The 17,341-nt window shown below is 38.0% G+C and overlaps 1 protein-coding gene across 12 annotated transcripts in view, besides 2 other annotated features; it reads right to left on the bottom strand.

The window, feature by feature from the left end:
- TPD52L1 (TPD52 like 1) overlaps positions 2,993-17,341 on the bottom strand; it is a 110,635-nt gene continuing 96,286 nt past the window's right edge. For 3 of the 12 annotated variants that reach the window (NM_003287.4, NM_001003395.3, XM_047419286.1), the window contains exons 5-7: positions 13,645-13,683; positions 10,242-10,302; positions 2,993-4,566 (exon numbers count right to left, since the gene is read on the bottom strand). In NM_003287.4, the coding sequence (NP_003278.1) occupies positions 4,438-4,566; positions 10,242-10,302; positions 13,645-13,683 (229 nt within the window). In that variant the 3' untranslated portion in view covers positions 2,993-4,437. Of the gene's footprint in view, positions 4,567-10,241; positions 10,303-13,644; positions 13,684-14,790; positions 15,379-17,341 lie in introns of those variants that run through there. The other 9 variants (NM_001003397.3, NM_001292026.3, NM_001318907.2 and 6 more) reach the window with 5 other exon arrangements.
- Positions 3,978-4,491: an enhancer, noted in NCBI's record as "H3K4me1 hESC enhancer chr6:125584055-125584568 (GRCh37/hg19 assembly coordinates)". NCBI's record gives its function as "activates a minimal SCP1, AML or CMV promoter by ChIP-STARR-seq in primed H9 embryonic stem cells {active_cell/tissue: H9 hESC(primed)}" and the evidence as "EXISTENCE:reporter gene assay evidence [ECO:0000049][PMID:30033119]".
- Positions 4,492-5,005: an enhancer, noted in NCBI's record as "H3K4me1 hESC enhancer chr6:125583541-125584054 (GRCh37/hg19 assembly coordinates)". NCBI's record gives its function as "activates a minimal SCP1, AML or CMV promoter by ChIP-STARR-seq in primed H9 embryonic stem cells {active_cell/tissue: H9 hESC(primed)}" and the evidence as "EXISTENCE:reporter gene assay evidence [ECO:0000049][PMID:30033119]".

Raw genomic sequence — 17,341 nt, 5'->3', positions numbered from 1 at the left:
TGATACATGCTCTGGGGGAAATGACTGATGAAGCGCTTTGTAAAAAAAAGCATCTCTGTACTCAGCATTTTCATTTAAGCAATTTGTCAGTCTTCACATTCAAAGGTGAAATGGGATGATTTCTGTGAAAGACATGATTTTGTCATTTTTGGTTTGCTTTAATTTATATATATATATAATGGATGGATATGTATTATATATATTATATATATAATGTGTGTGTACATGAATATACCCTCTGGTGTGAACTGAAAGTCAAGCAGAAATGTAGCATAAAGAATTTTACCATGCTTAGAAGTTATCAAAAGTAGCCATAAGATTTTGCCAAATATTGTTATAGTTTGAAATTACATTTGAATGCTAGGTTTGAAGAAGTTGTTTCACATTTCATATTAAGTCACTTTTCAACCTTACCACCATCTTCCTTTATCACACTACTTCCACTCAAATTGAATACTAAGTGAGAGGAGGACGATGGGGTTGATGTTGAACAACTTTAAAGCTTACACGTAATTTTGGAACAATGAACAGTGACAGAAGAGCCGTGTAGATCCCTGGGTTCCCTCTACACTGGCCACTGTGAACGGCATGGCATATCATGAAGACACATCCTAAAGCATGCACTTTGTTCTGTTTGCTATGGTTCAAGAACAGATTTCTAACAAAATGTGTAATTTAGAGTAAGATATGCAGATTGCATTGCTAAAATGACCTGCCAATAGTTGTAATCTTTTTTTGAGACAGGGTCTCATCTCTCTGTCACCCAGGCTGGAAGGCAGTGGCAAGATCTCGGCTCACTGCAGCCTCTGCCTCCCTGGTTCGAGAGATTCTCCCACCTCAGCCTCCCAAGTAGCTGGGATTACAGGGATGTGCCATCAAGCACAGCTAATTTTTGCATTTTTAGTAAAGACGGGGTTTCACCGTGTTGGCCAGGCTGGTCTCGAACTCCTGACCTCAGTTGATCCACCCACCTTGGCCTCCCAAAGTTCTGGGATTACAGGCATGAGCCACCATGCCCAGCCAATAGTTGTAATCTTTATGTGATGTGAGTTGTGAGATAAAGTAGCACTGTAAATTTACAAATATGTTCATCATAGCAACTGTGTTTAAAATGTGGTAAATCGTTAAATTTCAGAATGGCTTACTTTTTTTAAAAGCTAGTTTGTTTTGTAATCACAATTGCATCAGAATTTTTGATAATTGAAAGAATTGACGCCTGAGCCACTCGGGGATTAGGCCTGCACAGTCAAAAATCCGATTCTAGGTTGGGAGTTGTGGCTCACGCCTGTAATCCCAACACTTTGGGAGGCCAGGGCAGGTGGATCACAAGGTCAGGAGTTCAAGACCAGCCTGGCCAAGATGGTAAAATCCTGTCTCTACTAAAAATACAAAAATTAGCCAGGCGTGGTGGTAGGTGCCTGTAATCCCAGCTACTCGGGAGGCTGAGGCAGAGAATTGCTTGAACCCAGGAGGCAGAGGTTGCAGTGAGCCAAGATTGCACCACTGCACTCCAACCTGGGCAACAGGGTGAGACTCAGTCTCAAAAAAATAAATAAATAAATAAAACAAAAATCTGATTCTAACTTTGGACACCCCCTAAACCTAACTACCAACAGCTACTGTTGACCATAAGCCTTGTTGATAACATAAATGGCCAATTAACACATATTTTTATGTTATATGCATTACATGTGGTATTCTTACAATAAAGTAAGCTCTGGAAACAAAATGTTAAAAGAAAAACAACAGAGATAATATATGTACTATTCATTAAGTGGAAGCAGATGATGATAAAGGTCTTTATCCTCATTGTCTTCATGTTGAGTAGGCTGCAGAAGGGGAGAGGTTGGTATCACTGTTTCAAGGGGTGCCAGAGGCAGAAGAAAATCTGCACATAAGTGGACCCTCACAGTTCAAACTCCTGTTGTTCAAGGGTCAACTGTACATTTTCTGTGGAGGTATCCTTTCATACACACATGGTGTTGACCTGAAGTCATTTTGGTTTGTTAGTAAAAGGTTATGTCCATTGTGTGCAATTACTTTTTAGGACTTGTGAAACACTTTAAACTACTGCTTGTGAACTGAGCCTCACTAGATGTAATTGAGAAGCTCAGCAATCAGTCCCATCAGGATGATCTTGCACACCCATGGTGAGGGAGGACCAGGCAGCTCTTAGTGATGCTCCTGAAGCTAAGAGTAGGCTCACTGCCTAAACTAGGTAAGACTGCCCACCTACCAACAAGTGTTTGATTTATCTAATCTGAGTTATTCACACACATTTTATGACAAAAATAAAAAATGCTACTTATGCCATGGCCATTATGAATATCACTTCTAGGTCAGAGTGAATAATGAAAAGCTTTTAGATGAATAGAGATGATGTGCATAAGATTCTTACCAAACTAATGAAATCAGAATTTTGATGAATGGAATAAAATAAATAGCTAAAATGTGTTGGAAGCTTTAAGATATTACCACAAGTTTTCTTGATTGTTTTTCTATCCAATTCTAATATTGTGTTTTCAGATTATAAGGCTGAGACTATGGTGTGCAGAAATTGGTTGGTGAACGGAGATATTTGTTTAAAGTACCATAACTTTATCTAATACAATGCGGTGTGCTGAATATGGTAAAAAAAGAAGGTGGCAGGGAGTTTTCACAAGTTAGCCACTTCACACTCAACAGGCAGCTATAGATTGGGCACAGAGACTGAGTACTTGTGTGCTGTGGTGGGCGAGCCAGCACGGCCTGAGAACCAGCTGGGCAGGGTTGGTTTCCTGCCTCTACTTCAACCAACAGGCTGGAAGCACAAATAAGGGAGAATGCCAGCATCCCTGCTAGTGAGCTTTCTTTGTCTACATTTGTCCACTCTGGTCAAGTTTACAGCCCCATTCTCTCTGCTAAGATTCCAGGCCTCAGAGATGATGTTGTCCTGAACCACCTTGATTTTCAGTTAGGTGTACAGATTGCACAGATTGTCATGCTCCATTAATTTGAGTAGAATTTTTCAGATGTGCTTTACTTCAAAATGTCATATATATCACTTCTATTTAATAAACACAAAACATGAACAATTAGCATGCTAACAAATATGTATATATTATATGGGCTTTTTAAATAGTGATTTTTTTTAGGTTGGATGTCTATTCAGTGTGCATTTTACAAATATATCTTAAGGCTATATCTCTGCCACCTAATAACAAATATATGTTCCCATTTAGAAAAAGAAAAGAGATACATATGATATATAAGATAAAAGTTAGTGCAGAAATCTGAGTGGATTGATAAATACCAGTTATTTTCATACATGTGAACAATTTACAAACTGAAAGGGGTTGCAGAACTCTGCTTCTCCCATTTTCTAGCTATCTCTTTTTTGGATATCCTTTATCTGACTAACTACTACTGTATGTAGATTGGAGAGAATTTTAAAATTGGAGATTATTTTAACATCCTAGGATAGCTGAGGTAATATTTATTTTCATATCCTCTCTCATGTTCACCAAATTAGCAGTAAAAGTTGACTACTTATTATTACTATTTTTGGAGACAGTGTCCCACTCTGTCACCCAGGCTGGAGTAGTGCAGTGGTGCAATCATAGCTCACTGCAGTTTCGAACTCCTAGGCTCATGCAATCCTCCTGCCTCAGCCTCTAGAGTAGCTGGGACTACAGGCAAGCAACACTATGTCTGGCTAATTTTTTTCTTTTTTTGTAGAGACAGGGTCTGTGTTGCCCAGGCTGATCTTTAACTCCTGGCCTCAAGCAATCCTCTCACCTTGGCATCCAAAATAGTTGGGATTACAGGTGTGAGCCGCCGCACCTGGCTAAAAGTTGATTTAAAATTGCATCTGTAAAATCATAACTAGCAACTTTTAAGACAAAGAAATTAAGAATTCAAAGTCATTAAAATCAATTCTTTTAATTGCTGAAATTAACATACATAATTGATGTAGGTGAGAGAGATCACAAGTAGTTGGATGAAATTTATAGTAAATCATCCTATTGCTGGAGACAGTCATGAAGAGCTCCATCCTGTTGATCTGCTGAACTGAAAGGGACTGTTCATTCAGCCTTCAAGGACATGCACATCATAAAGGAGGCCAAGCAAAAATCAAAGCAAACAATAGCTACATGTTTGGAAAAATATACATCGAATTACACAGACAGGAATTATGACCAGTTGTGTACCTGCTCAAGTGGGAACATTTTAAAATGTGACAGTCATCTATGAATACTGAAATGTGATGGTCAAGTGGTCCATCATCAACACAAATACAAATGGAAATCATTAAACTTTCTGGAGGGGCCATTTGAATAACAATGTCAAGGCCTGGGTTTTTCCCAGCGGGATTTTGGTCTTCTTATCTGGATAAGCACAGGCAGAGATGGGCTGGGTAGTGGCCGGTTTCTGGATGCAGCTGCACGCTGGCTGGACTTAGCACTGCAGCTCCTCCTCCTTGGTCCGCCGGGAGCCTCCTGCCAAGCTCTGGGCACTGGCATGGGCCGTGGAGCTGAGGACCTCCTCAAAACTGCCTCCATTAGGGTTCGTACCGCCTACTTTCGTCTGAAATGAGCAGATCCACAAAAATGCAGTTAGTTGTTACTATCATTTTTGTAATGTTTTTATAAGAATACCAAAAGCTGGATTACTTTCAAATTCAGAAATACTTTCTATCTTTAGAGACAAAAGAATGCACAGAAGTTTGTTTCCTTTAGTAGAGTGCTAGAATATTATTCATACTTGGGTTCTCGGATAGGATTCCAAACTTTAATTTTGCACACTTTTAGCAACCCTCTCTTTATCTCTCCTGTATCTAAGATTTTAATCCCTTCAGGAGCATAATCGGATCCATGGACTTGGAACAGCTATCTCCACTCACCCAGAGAACTGATCTAATCAAAATGGAATTAGATTTTTTATTAATTCCTCCAATTGTACAAATGTATAAACATCCTTACATGACCTAAACTTAGATTTTTCTACTTGGGAGTTAGCAGGGCAAACTGGATTTCTGACAAATGTCTTTTGAAAAGTCAGAGTGGCTCAATGGAAAATGATTTCTGGTTTCTGCTTTGAAAATTGAAGATGGATCAAGTCTTAATCACTGGTGATTTCACATCATCTTAGGCAACTGCCTTTTGATATGGTTTGGCTGTGTCCTCACCCAAATCTCATCTTGAATGGTAGTTCCCATAGTCCTCATAATCCTAGCAAGGAGGAACCTGGTAGGAGGTAATTGAATCATGGGGGCGGTGACCTCCATACTGTTCTCGTGATAGTGAGTGAGTTCTCACAAGATCTGATGCTTCTACAAGGGGCTTTCCTCCTTTTGTTCAGCACTTCTCCTTCCTGCCACCATGTGAAGAAGGACATATTTACTTCCCCTTCTGCCATGATTGTAAGTTTCCTGAGGCCCCCTCAGCCCTGTGGAACTGTGAGTCAATTAAATCTCTTTCCTTTATAAATTACCCAGTCTCAGGTATTTCTTCACAGCAGCGTGAAATGGAATTAATACACCCTTACAGTATGAATATTCCTTACAATGCAGTTATGATGGTTTATGAGGCTTTTTTCTTGTGTATTTGTTATTGACTAAGCATAGAAACATGAAGGAATTAACTTACAATTTAAAAATAAGGCTAAGTATTTTGAAAAATTCCTTATTAAAACTGCTAAAAATCCCTTATTAAAACTGGCTTCCTAATCTCTCATAATACAAAAAGGAAAAAAAACATGTAATGCAACTTGCCCTTTTTTTTTTTTTTTAAGGTTTTGGTCCAGGCCATGTAATGTATTTATCAAAAAGTAGATGCACTAAAAATATGGTCTGCTTGACAAGATGCAAAATGCTTAGTGCAAGTCTTATTAATAGTCACACTGGCCTTCCCTCCCATTGTTTTTCATAATGTAGAAAAAACACTTTGAAGGAAAAAGAAGATATAGAATAAATAATGTTGCTATTGCCAAACTGATTGTTGATGCCTCACTGTCACCAAAGTGATCACTCACAGACATCAGCAACACTGGGGATTGTGTCTGTGCTGCCTGGCCTGACCTTTTAAAAATGTAACCAGGGTTCAAAAGCAGTTCCATCATTACAAAACACACTTCGCTCTAATTGTCACTAAAATCTCTCTCTGCCTCTTAAATTTATTTATTAAATTGAATTTTTGTACTCTGCTTGGTGTCAGAAAACTCTACCTGTAAAGGGCCAGACAGTAAATACTTTAGGCTTGGGAACCACATTGTTGCTCTCACAGATACTCAAATCAGTTCTTGTAGGAAGTAGCCACAGCGAATACCTAAGTGAATGAGCGTGGCTTCCCTTCCCCTTCCCCTTCCCCTTTTCTTTCTTTCTTTCTTTCTTTCTTTTCTTTTCTTTCTTTCTTTCTTTCTTTCTTTCTTTCTTTCTTTTCTTTTCTTTCTTTCTTTCTTTCTTTCTTTCTTTCTTTCTTTCTTTCTTTCTTTCTTTCTTCTTTCTTTCTTTCCTTTCTTTCTCCCTCTCTTTTCTTTTTCTTTCTTTCTTTTCTTTCTTTCTCTCTCTCACTTTCTTTCTCTTCCTTTCTTCCTTTCTTCTTTCTTTCTTTTTTTGAGACGGAGTCTTGCTCTGTGGCCCAGGCTGGAGTGCAGTGGTGCAATCTCGGCTTACTCCAACCTCTGCCTCCTGGGTTCAAGCAATTCTGTCTGTCTCATCCTCCCAAGTAGCTGATATTACAGGCACCCACCATTATGCCCAGCAAATTTTTGTATTTTTAGTAGAGATGGGGTTTCAACACGTTGGCCAGGCTGGTCTCGAACTCTTGACCTCTAGTGATCTGCCCGCCTCGGCCTCCCAAAGTGCTGGGATTACAGGCGTGAGCCACCAGGCCTGGCCAAGGCTGTGTTTCAGTAAGACTTAATGTATGGACACTGAAATGTGAACTTATGTAATTTAATTTTCAAATGTCACGAAATATTATTTTTATTTTGATTTTTTCAACCATTAAAAAATGTAAAGCCATTCTCAGCTTATGTACCATTCAAAAGAAAGTGGTCAGCTTAGTTTGTGGACCTCTGGCAGAGCATTGATCTTCCTTCCCTCTGTTATCTTAACACTGGGAACAGGTCAGGGGAAGGGATGGTTTCCATTGTGTGATTTTTCACTATGCTTATTTCTTCCCTGAGAGAAACAAATAAGATTAATTCAATGTAATCTACTCTATTAATAGTTCCCTCTCTCCTCTTTTTTCTTCCATTCACATTCTCTTTTGCAATAGAAGTAACACACAATATTGAATTCAGTGAATACAAATCACTGACGTTTTCTTCTGTGCTTTGTTTCATTATTCTCTCCTGTTTCTTGATTTCCTCTAAACAGAGTAGTAAAATAAAGAAGGAATGGCTTTGTAAGAAATCAATTTGGCAAAGAAGGTATGGAATCAAAGATATTCCTAACCACGTAGGTTTAATGACTGCCTACTGCAATATCTTAGGTAAGGACCTCCTTAAGCAAAGATGTGAATGATAAAATTCTCCTGGACCCTTCTCTACATAATTGTTTTTCATCCAAGTATTTGTCACTTTGTCCCCCAAATTATAATCGTTCTTTGCATAGAATTTCATTTGAATCGCTGAGTTGGGCTTCCTAATCTCTCATAATACAAAAAGAAACAAAACATGTAATGCAACTTGCCCCCCTTTTCTTTTTAAGGTTTTGGTCCAGGCCATATAATGTATTTATCAAAAAGTAGGTGCACTAAAAATATGGTCTGCTTGACATGGATGCAAAATGGTTGGAAGAGATGTAGTTACTCATGACTCATTGGGAGATGGCAGAAGATACCAAAAGTGGCTTCACAGGAGTTCGTTCTGCATTTACTTGTTTGTTTTGGATGAAATAGGAAGCATGCTCAGTGACTGTACAGGTGACATCAGCTGCAGTGTCAAGTAATACATTGTAAGGGCGTAGGCAGAACTAAATTTTATAGGATTGGAAAAGTGTTTCATGGAAAAACAAACTACAGAATTTGGTGTAAAGAAAGACCCATGGATTTGGTACAAGTGCCACATGGTACATGACAGATTGTGTGAGAAGATGGCAGGAGTGGACCTTTATAGCAGAACCTTATTTTCTCACAGGACATAAATATGACTATGATTTCTTATCAGCAGTGTTTTCAAAAATCAAATTGAAAGCAGGGCATGTGAATGGAAATGCAGCACATAGACCTGCAAGAAATTCCACTCATCTTTACCGACTCATGAGTCATTCCCTCAGCAGAAAACAGTCTAAGGATCCTTAACTAATGAACAATATAGACATTTTGGAGAAGACTTAGAACACAAAAGTAAACTGCAGAAAATAAGCTATATAAAAAAGGGTTATACATATCTATTATTTAGTCTAGTGGGAAAAAAAAGGACAGAGAAATTTGTAATTATTTAGGAAGTGGGAGGTTTGACACAAAGCATAATTATCAGCTATTCTGCATTGCCTGTGTGGACAGAAAAAGAGGAATTAGGCTTTGGCCATGAAATAGGAAGTATGTGGCATGTGAGTCTTGTTAAACCATGAACAGTCATACAAGCATAGAATCACTTTCAGGAGGTCTTCACAAAGGCTAGTATCTAGTGGGCTGGGTTAGTTATGTGCATGTCTGAAGGAGACGGCAGGCTATACCTTCTATCCAAGTGAGGTGAGAAAAGTGAGAAGCTGAACATGTGGATCAAACACTTAAATCCTATGTGAGCCATGAGCTTACCAGAGTTTCCTAAAAGCAAATGAAAATGGGTTGTTCTTTATTCTTCTTTTGCTTCTTCATATCTCCTTCTTCTAAAGAAAACCTAAAAAGTACAACTTGTCCTTTGTCAGAACTTGTCTAACAAGCAATGGAACCCATCCTCATTGGGTCGTCTAAGGCTGAAAACCAAATGTTTAGAAACTGAATCCTGGGATTTTTGAGCCTTTCATTTTGATCTTCTAGCAAGAAGATCAAATGTTCACAACATTGGATGCTCTTCCCTTTAAAAAAATTTTCCTACTCATGGGGCTGTTTAACGGCTCCCATTGGTTCCTGTACGCTCAATAAGCGATGATGTTGGCATGCAGAGCGGTGAAACTGCACAACTGGAAACTTCTGGTGAATGAAACTGATGAAGGCATGGTAAATGCTGAGTAATAATTTCATTCCTGGGCCTTAAACACCTAATTATGGGTCTAATAAAGTAGAAGTAGACCATGTGAAAGACCCTGCCCTAAGAAAAGACTCTCCAGGTCAAAATCCACAAGAGCACCTGGAACCGCGAGTAAGGAATAACTTACAACCTCACATATACTTATCAGGCAGCACACGTGAGAGCAGCGTGAAGATACAGGATTCAGAGGCAGCTGAATAATCAGCATGGGATATGAAGGTTTTTGATCTGGTTAAAGATCACGTATATTCTTAATTTTCCCAGTTATGGTAAAATACAGAAATGGATTGTATACAAAATAGAGATAATGATAGCAAGATGTAATTAAGTCATTAAGTGATACCTTTAAAAATAATCTTAGTAGTTGTAATGATTTTTCTTGTTTTAAAAGTTCAATTTTAAGACTAGACTGATTTCATTTTACTCTTTTTATTCAAACTTACCTATGCTAGAACAATAATTCCAGTGAATTTTTAAAACACTCTGTAATAGGCACATTTTCAATTTATACCCAGGGATGAAATGCATTACTGTGTTATTATAAAATGCATTTTGTGACTCAGTTTAATTTTCCCTCTATGATAGCCATACTGTGCTGTGCTCAGTACCTGAATTTATAAACAAGTCTAGGTAGCTGACGGGTAGTGGATACGTAGTCCCCAGTTTGTTTTTGCTGGTCCATGTCCAAACCAGAGCAGCTCTGAGCTGTTATTGAACTTTCACTCACACTCTAAATTCAGAATTCATATAGCCTTTATCCTATCCACAGTCATCTCTCACATATCTACTTTTGGAGGGATAGCATTAAGAGATTAAGTGGTAAACGCATACCCCAATTCACTTTAATGAACAATTCACCCCTGAATGGTTTATACAAACAACTCTAAGGATATAGTAACACTATTCAATAGTGGTTTTATTCATAGATTTATATGTGAAAGAAAAGGTCTGACTTGATGCAAGCCTGCCTTCTTGGCCCTGCCTCGACTTTAAACTAACCGCAGCAATGGCTAAGCTGTCCTGAGTCAATGGACCCACTCACACAGAATTCACTTCATCTGTACCTTGAGGCTTGTGACAGTTGTCTCAACCCTCTCCTCAAATGATTTGAAAGTAGGAGAATTCCTAAAATAACAAAAAGAGAGAGGTCAGCTCCAAAGGCCTAGCTGTCTTAGCAACCATGCTGTTTGGTTTTCTGCTCATATCTGTAAACACGGCCTCTGCCACAGAGCTACCTGTCAGCTTGCCACCTGCACCAACCACGTTTTAAAATGTATGTCACTTCTGTTAGGTTAGGTTCAGAAACCATAACCTGACATGGAATTTTTCTAGGTAAAATGATCAGTACACAATACAGTAAATAATATGGTATTTGGCAATGACACAACTGTAATAATTCCATGGTACACTGTAAATCATTTCCAATGAGCCAGTGGAGCAATGGGTAGCTTAAGTTTTCATTTAGCATTTATTGTTTCTATCACAACACTCCTCTTCCTGACTCAGGTTTTTTAGTAAGCAATGGAAAATCCATATGATGAATGTCATGTTTGAGTTTTGCCACTTGGCATTTTTTAAAGTTATTTATTTCAGCAAATGTGAGACAATTCAGAAATAGTGCAAGGAAAAAAATGTTCATATATTTTTTCTTTTCCATGCCTTAAAAAAATAATCATTTTGACAACTTACATGAAGTGGTGTTTTGGAAAGTTAATGCTTTCATTATTTTAAGATGAAACATACCCATTACCTACCTAATGCCCAATCAAAATGGAGGTTATTAGCATGCGTTATTTTTCCTCTCAAATAGATATACCTACTTGTTCTCTTACCAAATAGAACCTTTGCAGCCTAATGGCTTTTTTTTTCTTTTTTTTGATAGTCTCGTTCTGTCACCCAGGCTGGAATACAGTGAACTGATCTTGACTCACTGCAACCTCTGCCTCCCAGGTTCAAGCGATTCTCCTGCCTCAGCCTCCTGAGTAGCTGGGACTGCAGGTGCCCACCACCACATCCAGCTATTTTTTTTGAATTTTTAGTAGAGATGGGGTTTCACCATGTTGGCCAGGCTGGTCTCGAATTCTGACCTCAGGTGGTCCACCTGCCTCGGCCTCCAAAAGTGCTGGGATTACAGGCGTGAGCCACCGTGCCTGGCCCCTAATGGCATTTTATTTGTGACTCATTCATTGTATTAAATAATCTATACATAATTTTGTTGCTTTAAGCACTAAAAACTTCATTTGGTGCTTTCTGGTTTTCTGTATTGGATTTGGCCCCATGATATTATAATTTAATGACATCACCACCATTAAAAATACCACCAGCTCCTACTAAAGAAACAGGAACTGAACTAAGTGTATTTTAAATCTTGTATCCATGTCAGCTTTCAGCAGCAACAACTGCCATCATTTTCAGATCAAATAATTCAACTAAATGTTGAATTAATAAGGCACTTGTTATTCTCTCTTGAGTGCAAAAAAAAAAAAGTAAAATAAGAGGAATGGCCTAGAAAAACTTTATAAAGGAGAACAGCTATAGAATATAGGTTTCATTATGTGGTGCAGAATGAAGTATCACTTTTATACTACTAAAAGGCAATGAACATAGATGTTTATGAGTGAATTTGGGGATTGTCTCCTGAGTCCTTGGTGCTCCACATGGTCAGAAATGTACCTGCATTCAGGCTGTACAGATTAACAATGGTGAATTCAGAGGGCCCTGACATGGCATCACATTTTGTGTACGACTCAAACACGAGTCAAATTCCTATGAGTGATCCTCCGTAATGCTGTTTCATGATGAAATGTTAGTAAAATTATACTTGCATGACTCAAAAAGTATATAGTTATTGGCACTTCATTTCCATTGCAGGTTTTATTTGGCCAAGCCTGCACACATGACTGCCTGTCATCCATCAGTTACACAGGCCCACAGTGAGGAAATGGTTCATGGGTATATGTTAGACAAGCAAAATAATTTTTTTTTAAGTTAGTTTCAGGCAAGCTCATGCAGACTACATTTGACCCATTAGCCACTACTAGATGAATTCCTGGTTCACAGGGGAAAACCATGTTAATTTTTACTAGCCTTCTTCTGACACCCAGATTTAAAATTTGACAAGTAAAGGGGAACAGAGCCTTAGGTTCCACTACCCAACTGGGGCATTCTTATTCTAGGGAGAGCAAGCCATTCAAAGATGAATTAAGCAATCTTGAATCTGTACTCTCTGTTTACCACCAAATACAGAGAACTAAATACTGAGGGTGAATTTCCAAATCAACCAATTAACCACATAACCCCAGTGTAGAAGAGCCTTCCTTCATAAAATATAATAGAACAGACATTTATCTAATTAAATTATACTAGAATACATGCTGGAGAACAGGGAGAAGCTCTTTAATCAGATTTAATCAGATGTACAACTTTAATAAGATTTAATCAGATGTACAAACTTTTTTAGCACTGCAAATGACCCTAGGAAGAATTTCTCTTCATGACAGTTAAAAAACAGAGGAAAAGATTATATATATGAAGAATTTGGCTTCGGCGGTCTCAAACTATTGAAAGTAACTAAACTCCTTCTATAATGCCTTCAAACAACAACATCAATATAAAGCAGGTAGAAGAGGCATAGCTCTGACTGAAGTGGGGGAAGATCCCAAAGGCTTCATCTCTAGGCAGCCTTAGGGCTCGGTGGGTGGAGGGGCATCTTTGACAAGCAGCTAATCTGGTTCTAGCCTCTTATTTTAAATATGATGAAGCTGATACCATTGAGGTGATTTTCCCAAGAGTGCAAAGTTAATCCTTGGCAGAGCTGGGCTAGAGCCTGCATTTTCTGATTTTCAATTTAACACTCATTCCTGTCTTGCTATTAGTTTAATTTTATCTGATTGCATCACTATGCCATGCAAACTTGAAGTTAAGAATGTCTTTCTCACCAGTTTTTATCTGGTCAGTAATTATACTGACATTTTATTATTTAACAAACATCTCACCTTAATATCCACCTTAAAAATCCTAATGATATCCTCTCTAGAACTTTAGCCTTGCATTTAAACTTGCCCCCAGGCTAGCATTTAATTCTGCGGAAATAAGAAACCCAAGTTTACCTTTGCAAGATTGCTTGGCATGTTCAGACACTGTGCTAAATGCTTTATGTAGGTTCCTTTGTTTATGCCTCACAAACACCATATGAAGTAGGTCTTATTTCTTGCAATATATGGATAAAAGAATTGAGGTTAAGTCACTTGTCTTGGATCACACAGGAAAGACTAGATTTAAGCCAGGATGTCTGGTCAAAAGCCCAAGCTACGCAATTCTTCCACAGAATTGTCAGCCTTTTCTTTTGAAGACCATCAGCAATTTCCTTTCACATAAAGCAGAGGAACCCCATAAGTAAATATAAATAAAATAACACCTTAAACACATTTCATATTAATATTACATAAAATATTTTACACACATTACCTCATAGCAGGCATACTTATGGAATGGCGAATGGAGTAACTTCAGAGCAAAAGCAGATTAAAGGGGAAAAAAGAAAAAAGAAGAGAGCACACATAAGTACATGAAAAACTCCCTATTCGTAGTTCTAAAACAGCAATTCCAAATATCTGAAATATTCCCTGCCCATCTAACCAAGATGACATTTGTTTTTGTTGGGTATAATGGGTATAGTCAGCTTTCAAGGGTATAAATGAAAAGTAGATGGTGGATCCGTGGTTGCATATTATTTTACTTTCTGCAGCCTCCTTTTGCCAGGAAATCTGAGAATGTCTGGTTTCTCCCAGGTGAGCCCAGTAGCCCATGGGCATCTTCTCCAGGCCCAACTTAGGTCTCTACTCCCTTCTGCTCAGGAAAACAGTAAGGAGCAAAAGGCAGTATCCAGGAAATAGAGCCAGGCAGGTAGAAGCTAATCATTCCATGGTAGAGAAACTGGCCAGAGGAAAGCAAGAAGTTAACATAAGACTTTCAAGGAAGCACATGCCAGGCAAACACAGTTCTCATAGGCCATAGGGACTTCTGCATCCATTCTGGTTTGATTGTCAAGATGATTGATTTGTACTAGATGACTGTCAAGAACATCTGGTACAAACACAAACATTCCTGAGAATTTTAAGAGATTTAAACTTCTCATCCCATTAATCCTAGTAGCTGATTCATCTTCCCTCTGGTTGGTTGCCTGTTACTTTCTATTGAGTTCCACTCAGAAATCAGGCTGGGCATGGGGAGGAGCACAATGGGTCCATTTTCCTGGCCTAGTGCTTGCTCCCACCTCACACTTTTCAACAGCGTCCCTGCTTTCTCTTCTCTCAAGGAGCTAATAGTTCAGGGACCAAATCTGTCACCCTTCCCTCATAATATCCACTGAGGGCATTAGTATGGGTAGCACTTTGCTAGAACACAGAAAGAAAAGGACAAACAAATTCATGGGATACTTACGGTCTTACCCTAGACACTTGATTTAGAAACTATTAGGCAGATATTTCCTCAGAAATTACACTTCAAAAGCATCACTAAAAGAGCCTCATCTGCATTACCAATTGGTGTATCTCTGTAAATATAGACCGCTTTCTTAGGAAAAAATTAAAAAAATAAAAGTATATAATAAGATTCCGGCTAAAAGAAGTTTTAATTCGGGGGCTTGGGATTAAAAATCACAAACTTCTTAACATACGTACGTGCTTTTCCGGTACCTTTCTTCCCTTCAACTTCAGAAGGCACAGAAAGTTGAAGGTGAAACATCAACACAAATTATGGGTACAAGAAATTCAGAGAAACATGACAATCTAGAGAAAATCTGTTTTTGTTTCTCAACTTTACTTTCTAGAAGTTTCAGAAAACATATATAACTTTCAATCTCCACTTTGTTTTTTTTTCTTCTTCTTTTCAATTCTAAGAAGCTCTGTCAACACCGGAAGAAATGGTGCAGAGAAAGAGACTCCTGAGAGAGAGCTCAGCAAGTGAAATGGTGTAAATGATTCAGAAATGAGATAGAGATGTACTTCAATAAGTTCAAATGTATTAAGTGCCCTATAAACTATCTTCCTGGTCACGGGAACTGTCTGGAAAACAGAGTGTAGTTTTGTTGGTTCAGGCACAGTGTGAAAGAAACAGGGAGCCCTGGAAAGCAAAGGGGCAGCAAGGGAGTGGGGAAAGCCCCACACGCAGCCCTGTGGCGCTTACCCGATGGAGTGAGACCTGCAGCCCGGAAGCACAGGAGAGAAGAGCAGGAGCAGAGTTAGCAAACAGGAGGCAGAGAAACACTGCACTGCCCTTGGTGGTCCCCTTTCAAGGGCCCCAGAGCACAGACAGGGTAGCTTCATTTACCACTCTTGATTACACTGACTTTTTAATGTCTCTGACAAATCATTTTACCAACTCAAGTTTTGCTTCTGTTATTCCTATAAGTATATAACAATGATTGGACTGTAATAAAATGACATGCCTTCTCCAAACATTTTGTCCCCAGTGGATCAGTTTGAACAAATTAACTGAGAAGTTCCCAGAAGATGCCAATGTTATTAGAAAAATGATTCCAACCGCTTGGATTTCTTCTGAGTACTTTCCTAAGTGTGACCTCATTTTAACTTCACAGGAAATATTTTGGTTAAGTGGGTATTAACAATGTTATTTTATGGATGGAGAAAGAGAGTGGGCAATTCCATGACAATCAGGTTAAAATGAGAATCTTACTTAGCTCAGAAAAATATAACTTATTTTTACAAAACATACAAATTAAATCTTAACATAAAGCTTTTTTTTCAGCTATTAAAAGGCCCAAATTCTAGGTTTTACAAAATCTGTAAATATTAATTTGGAGTTATTTTAAAGAAAAACTGAGAGGTACTGTTGTTCTTCCAAGCTATCTGAATTTTGCTGGTAATGTTTTTGAATACATTCAGAAATTTGTTACCAGAATGCACAAAAATGTTATAGTGTAACTAATAAAAATGTAGACTAATATGACACTTTTAACCAAAAAGAAGTTTAAAATAAAAGGTCTGTGACCAAATTTTAACATATTCCCCATATTTACAAATTGGCACATTAGTTTTTGAACAAACAATCAAAGCTTACTATTTTTTCCCATTTAAGGTCTTTTATTAAGTTTAAACACTTTCAAAATGACTTTTATTTATATTACTTGTTTGGGCATAATTTAAAAGTAAAAATCTTTGTAAAACTTGTTGCTTTCACAAAGAGTTATTCTCATTTATATACAAATGTTAGATATAGTTTGAGAGAAATATACACATAAAATATTATATAAATAAAGCTCTGAAATTTTCAAACTCTTCAAAATATTTCAGGATTGTATTTGATTATCTAGCAACACAGATTGTATTTTCCAATATTTTTAGCCACAGTTTATAATGAAAATGTTGTACCCTCTACATGGGATAATAACAAATGGAAAGTTTGGAAGTCCTGGAAAATAGGCCATCCACTATACTAGACAAAGCCACATTGAAACGGGAGGAAAGGCAGTCAATACAACCTTGACATTGTACCCAATTAGTGTTTGAATATGAATGCCAACATATTGCATATGTGAAACACAGTCTTCATTCTTCACTATTGGGAAAAACAATGAGCAGGGCCTTTATGAAATACAGTGGGCTCCTGTTAATGTACTCTCCCTAATTTCTACCATGTGGGGCCATCTTGTAACTGAGCTGGTCACTTAAAGATAAAAAACTGCAATTTTTTGAGTGCATAATACATGTCAGACTTTCTTCTGCTACTTTTATAACAGTCCAGTGACATTGTTATTCTTATCTCCATTTTATTAGTGAAAACCCCAGATACAGGTGAGCTAAGCTATGTCTGTCTTCCTCATAAACTGACCCTCTGAAGCCAAATTATCTGGAAGCTTGTTATAAATGCAGATTCCTAGACTCCACCTCAGACTTACTGAGCACAACCTCTGAGAGGTGCAACCTAAGAATATGTATTCTAAACAAGCTTCAGAGGTGTTTGTAAGATCTCCTAAAGATGCAGAAGCACTATTCTAGTTAGCAGTGTCATGCTGGAGTTCCCAGGGTTCAAGTGAAAGATTTCAACACAGTATGAAGAGAATCAATTTTATAAACATGGGAAAATATGTTTTCTTGGGTATAACAGGTTATAGAGGGTTTCCTATTTTAAAGGATTATTTAAT

The sequence above is a fragment of the Homo sapiens genome, chromosome 6 (assembly GCF_000001405.40).
Source record: "Homo sapiens chromosome 6, GRCh38.p14 Primary Assembly".
In the NCBI taxonomy this organism is placed as follows: domain Eukaryota; kingdom Metazoa; phylum Chordata; class Mammalia; order Primates; family Hominidae; genus Homo; species Homo sapiens.
This window is presented reverse-complemented; position numbering and strand designations above follow the sequence as displayed.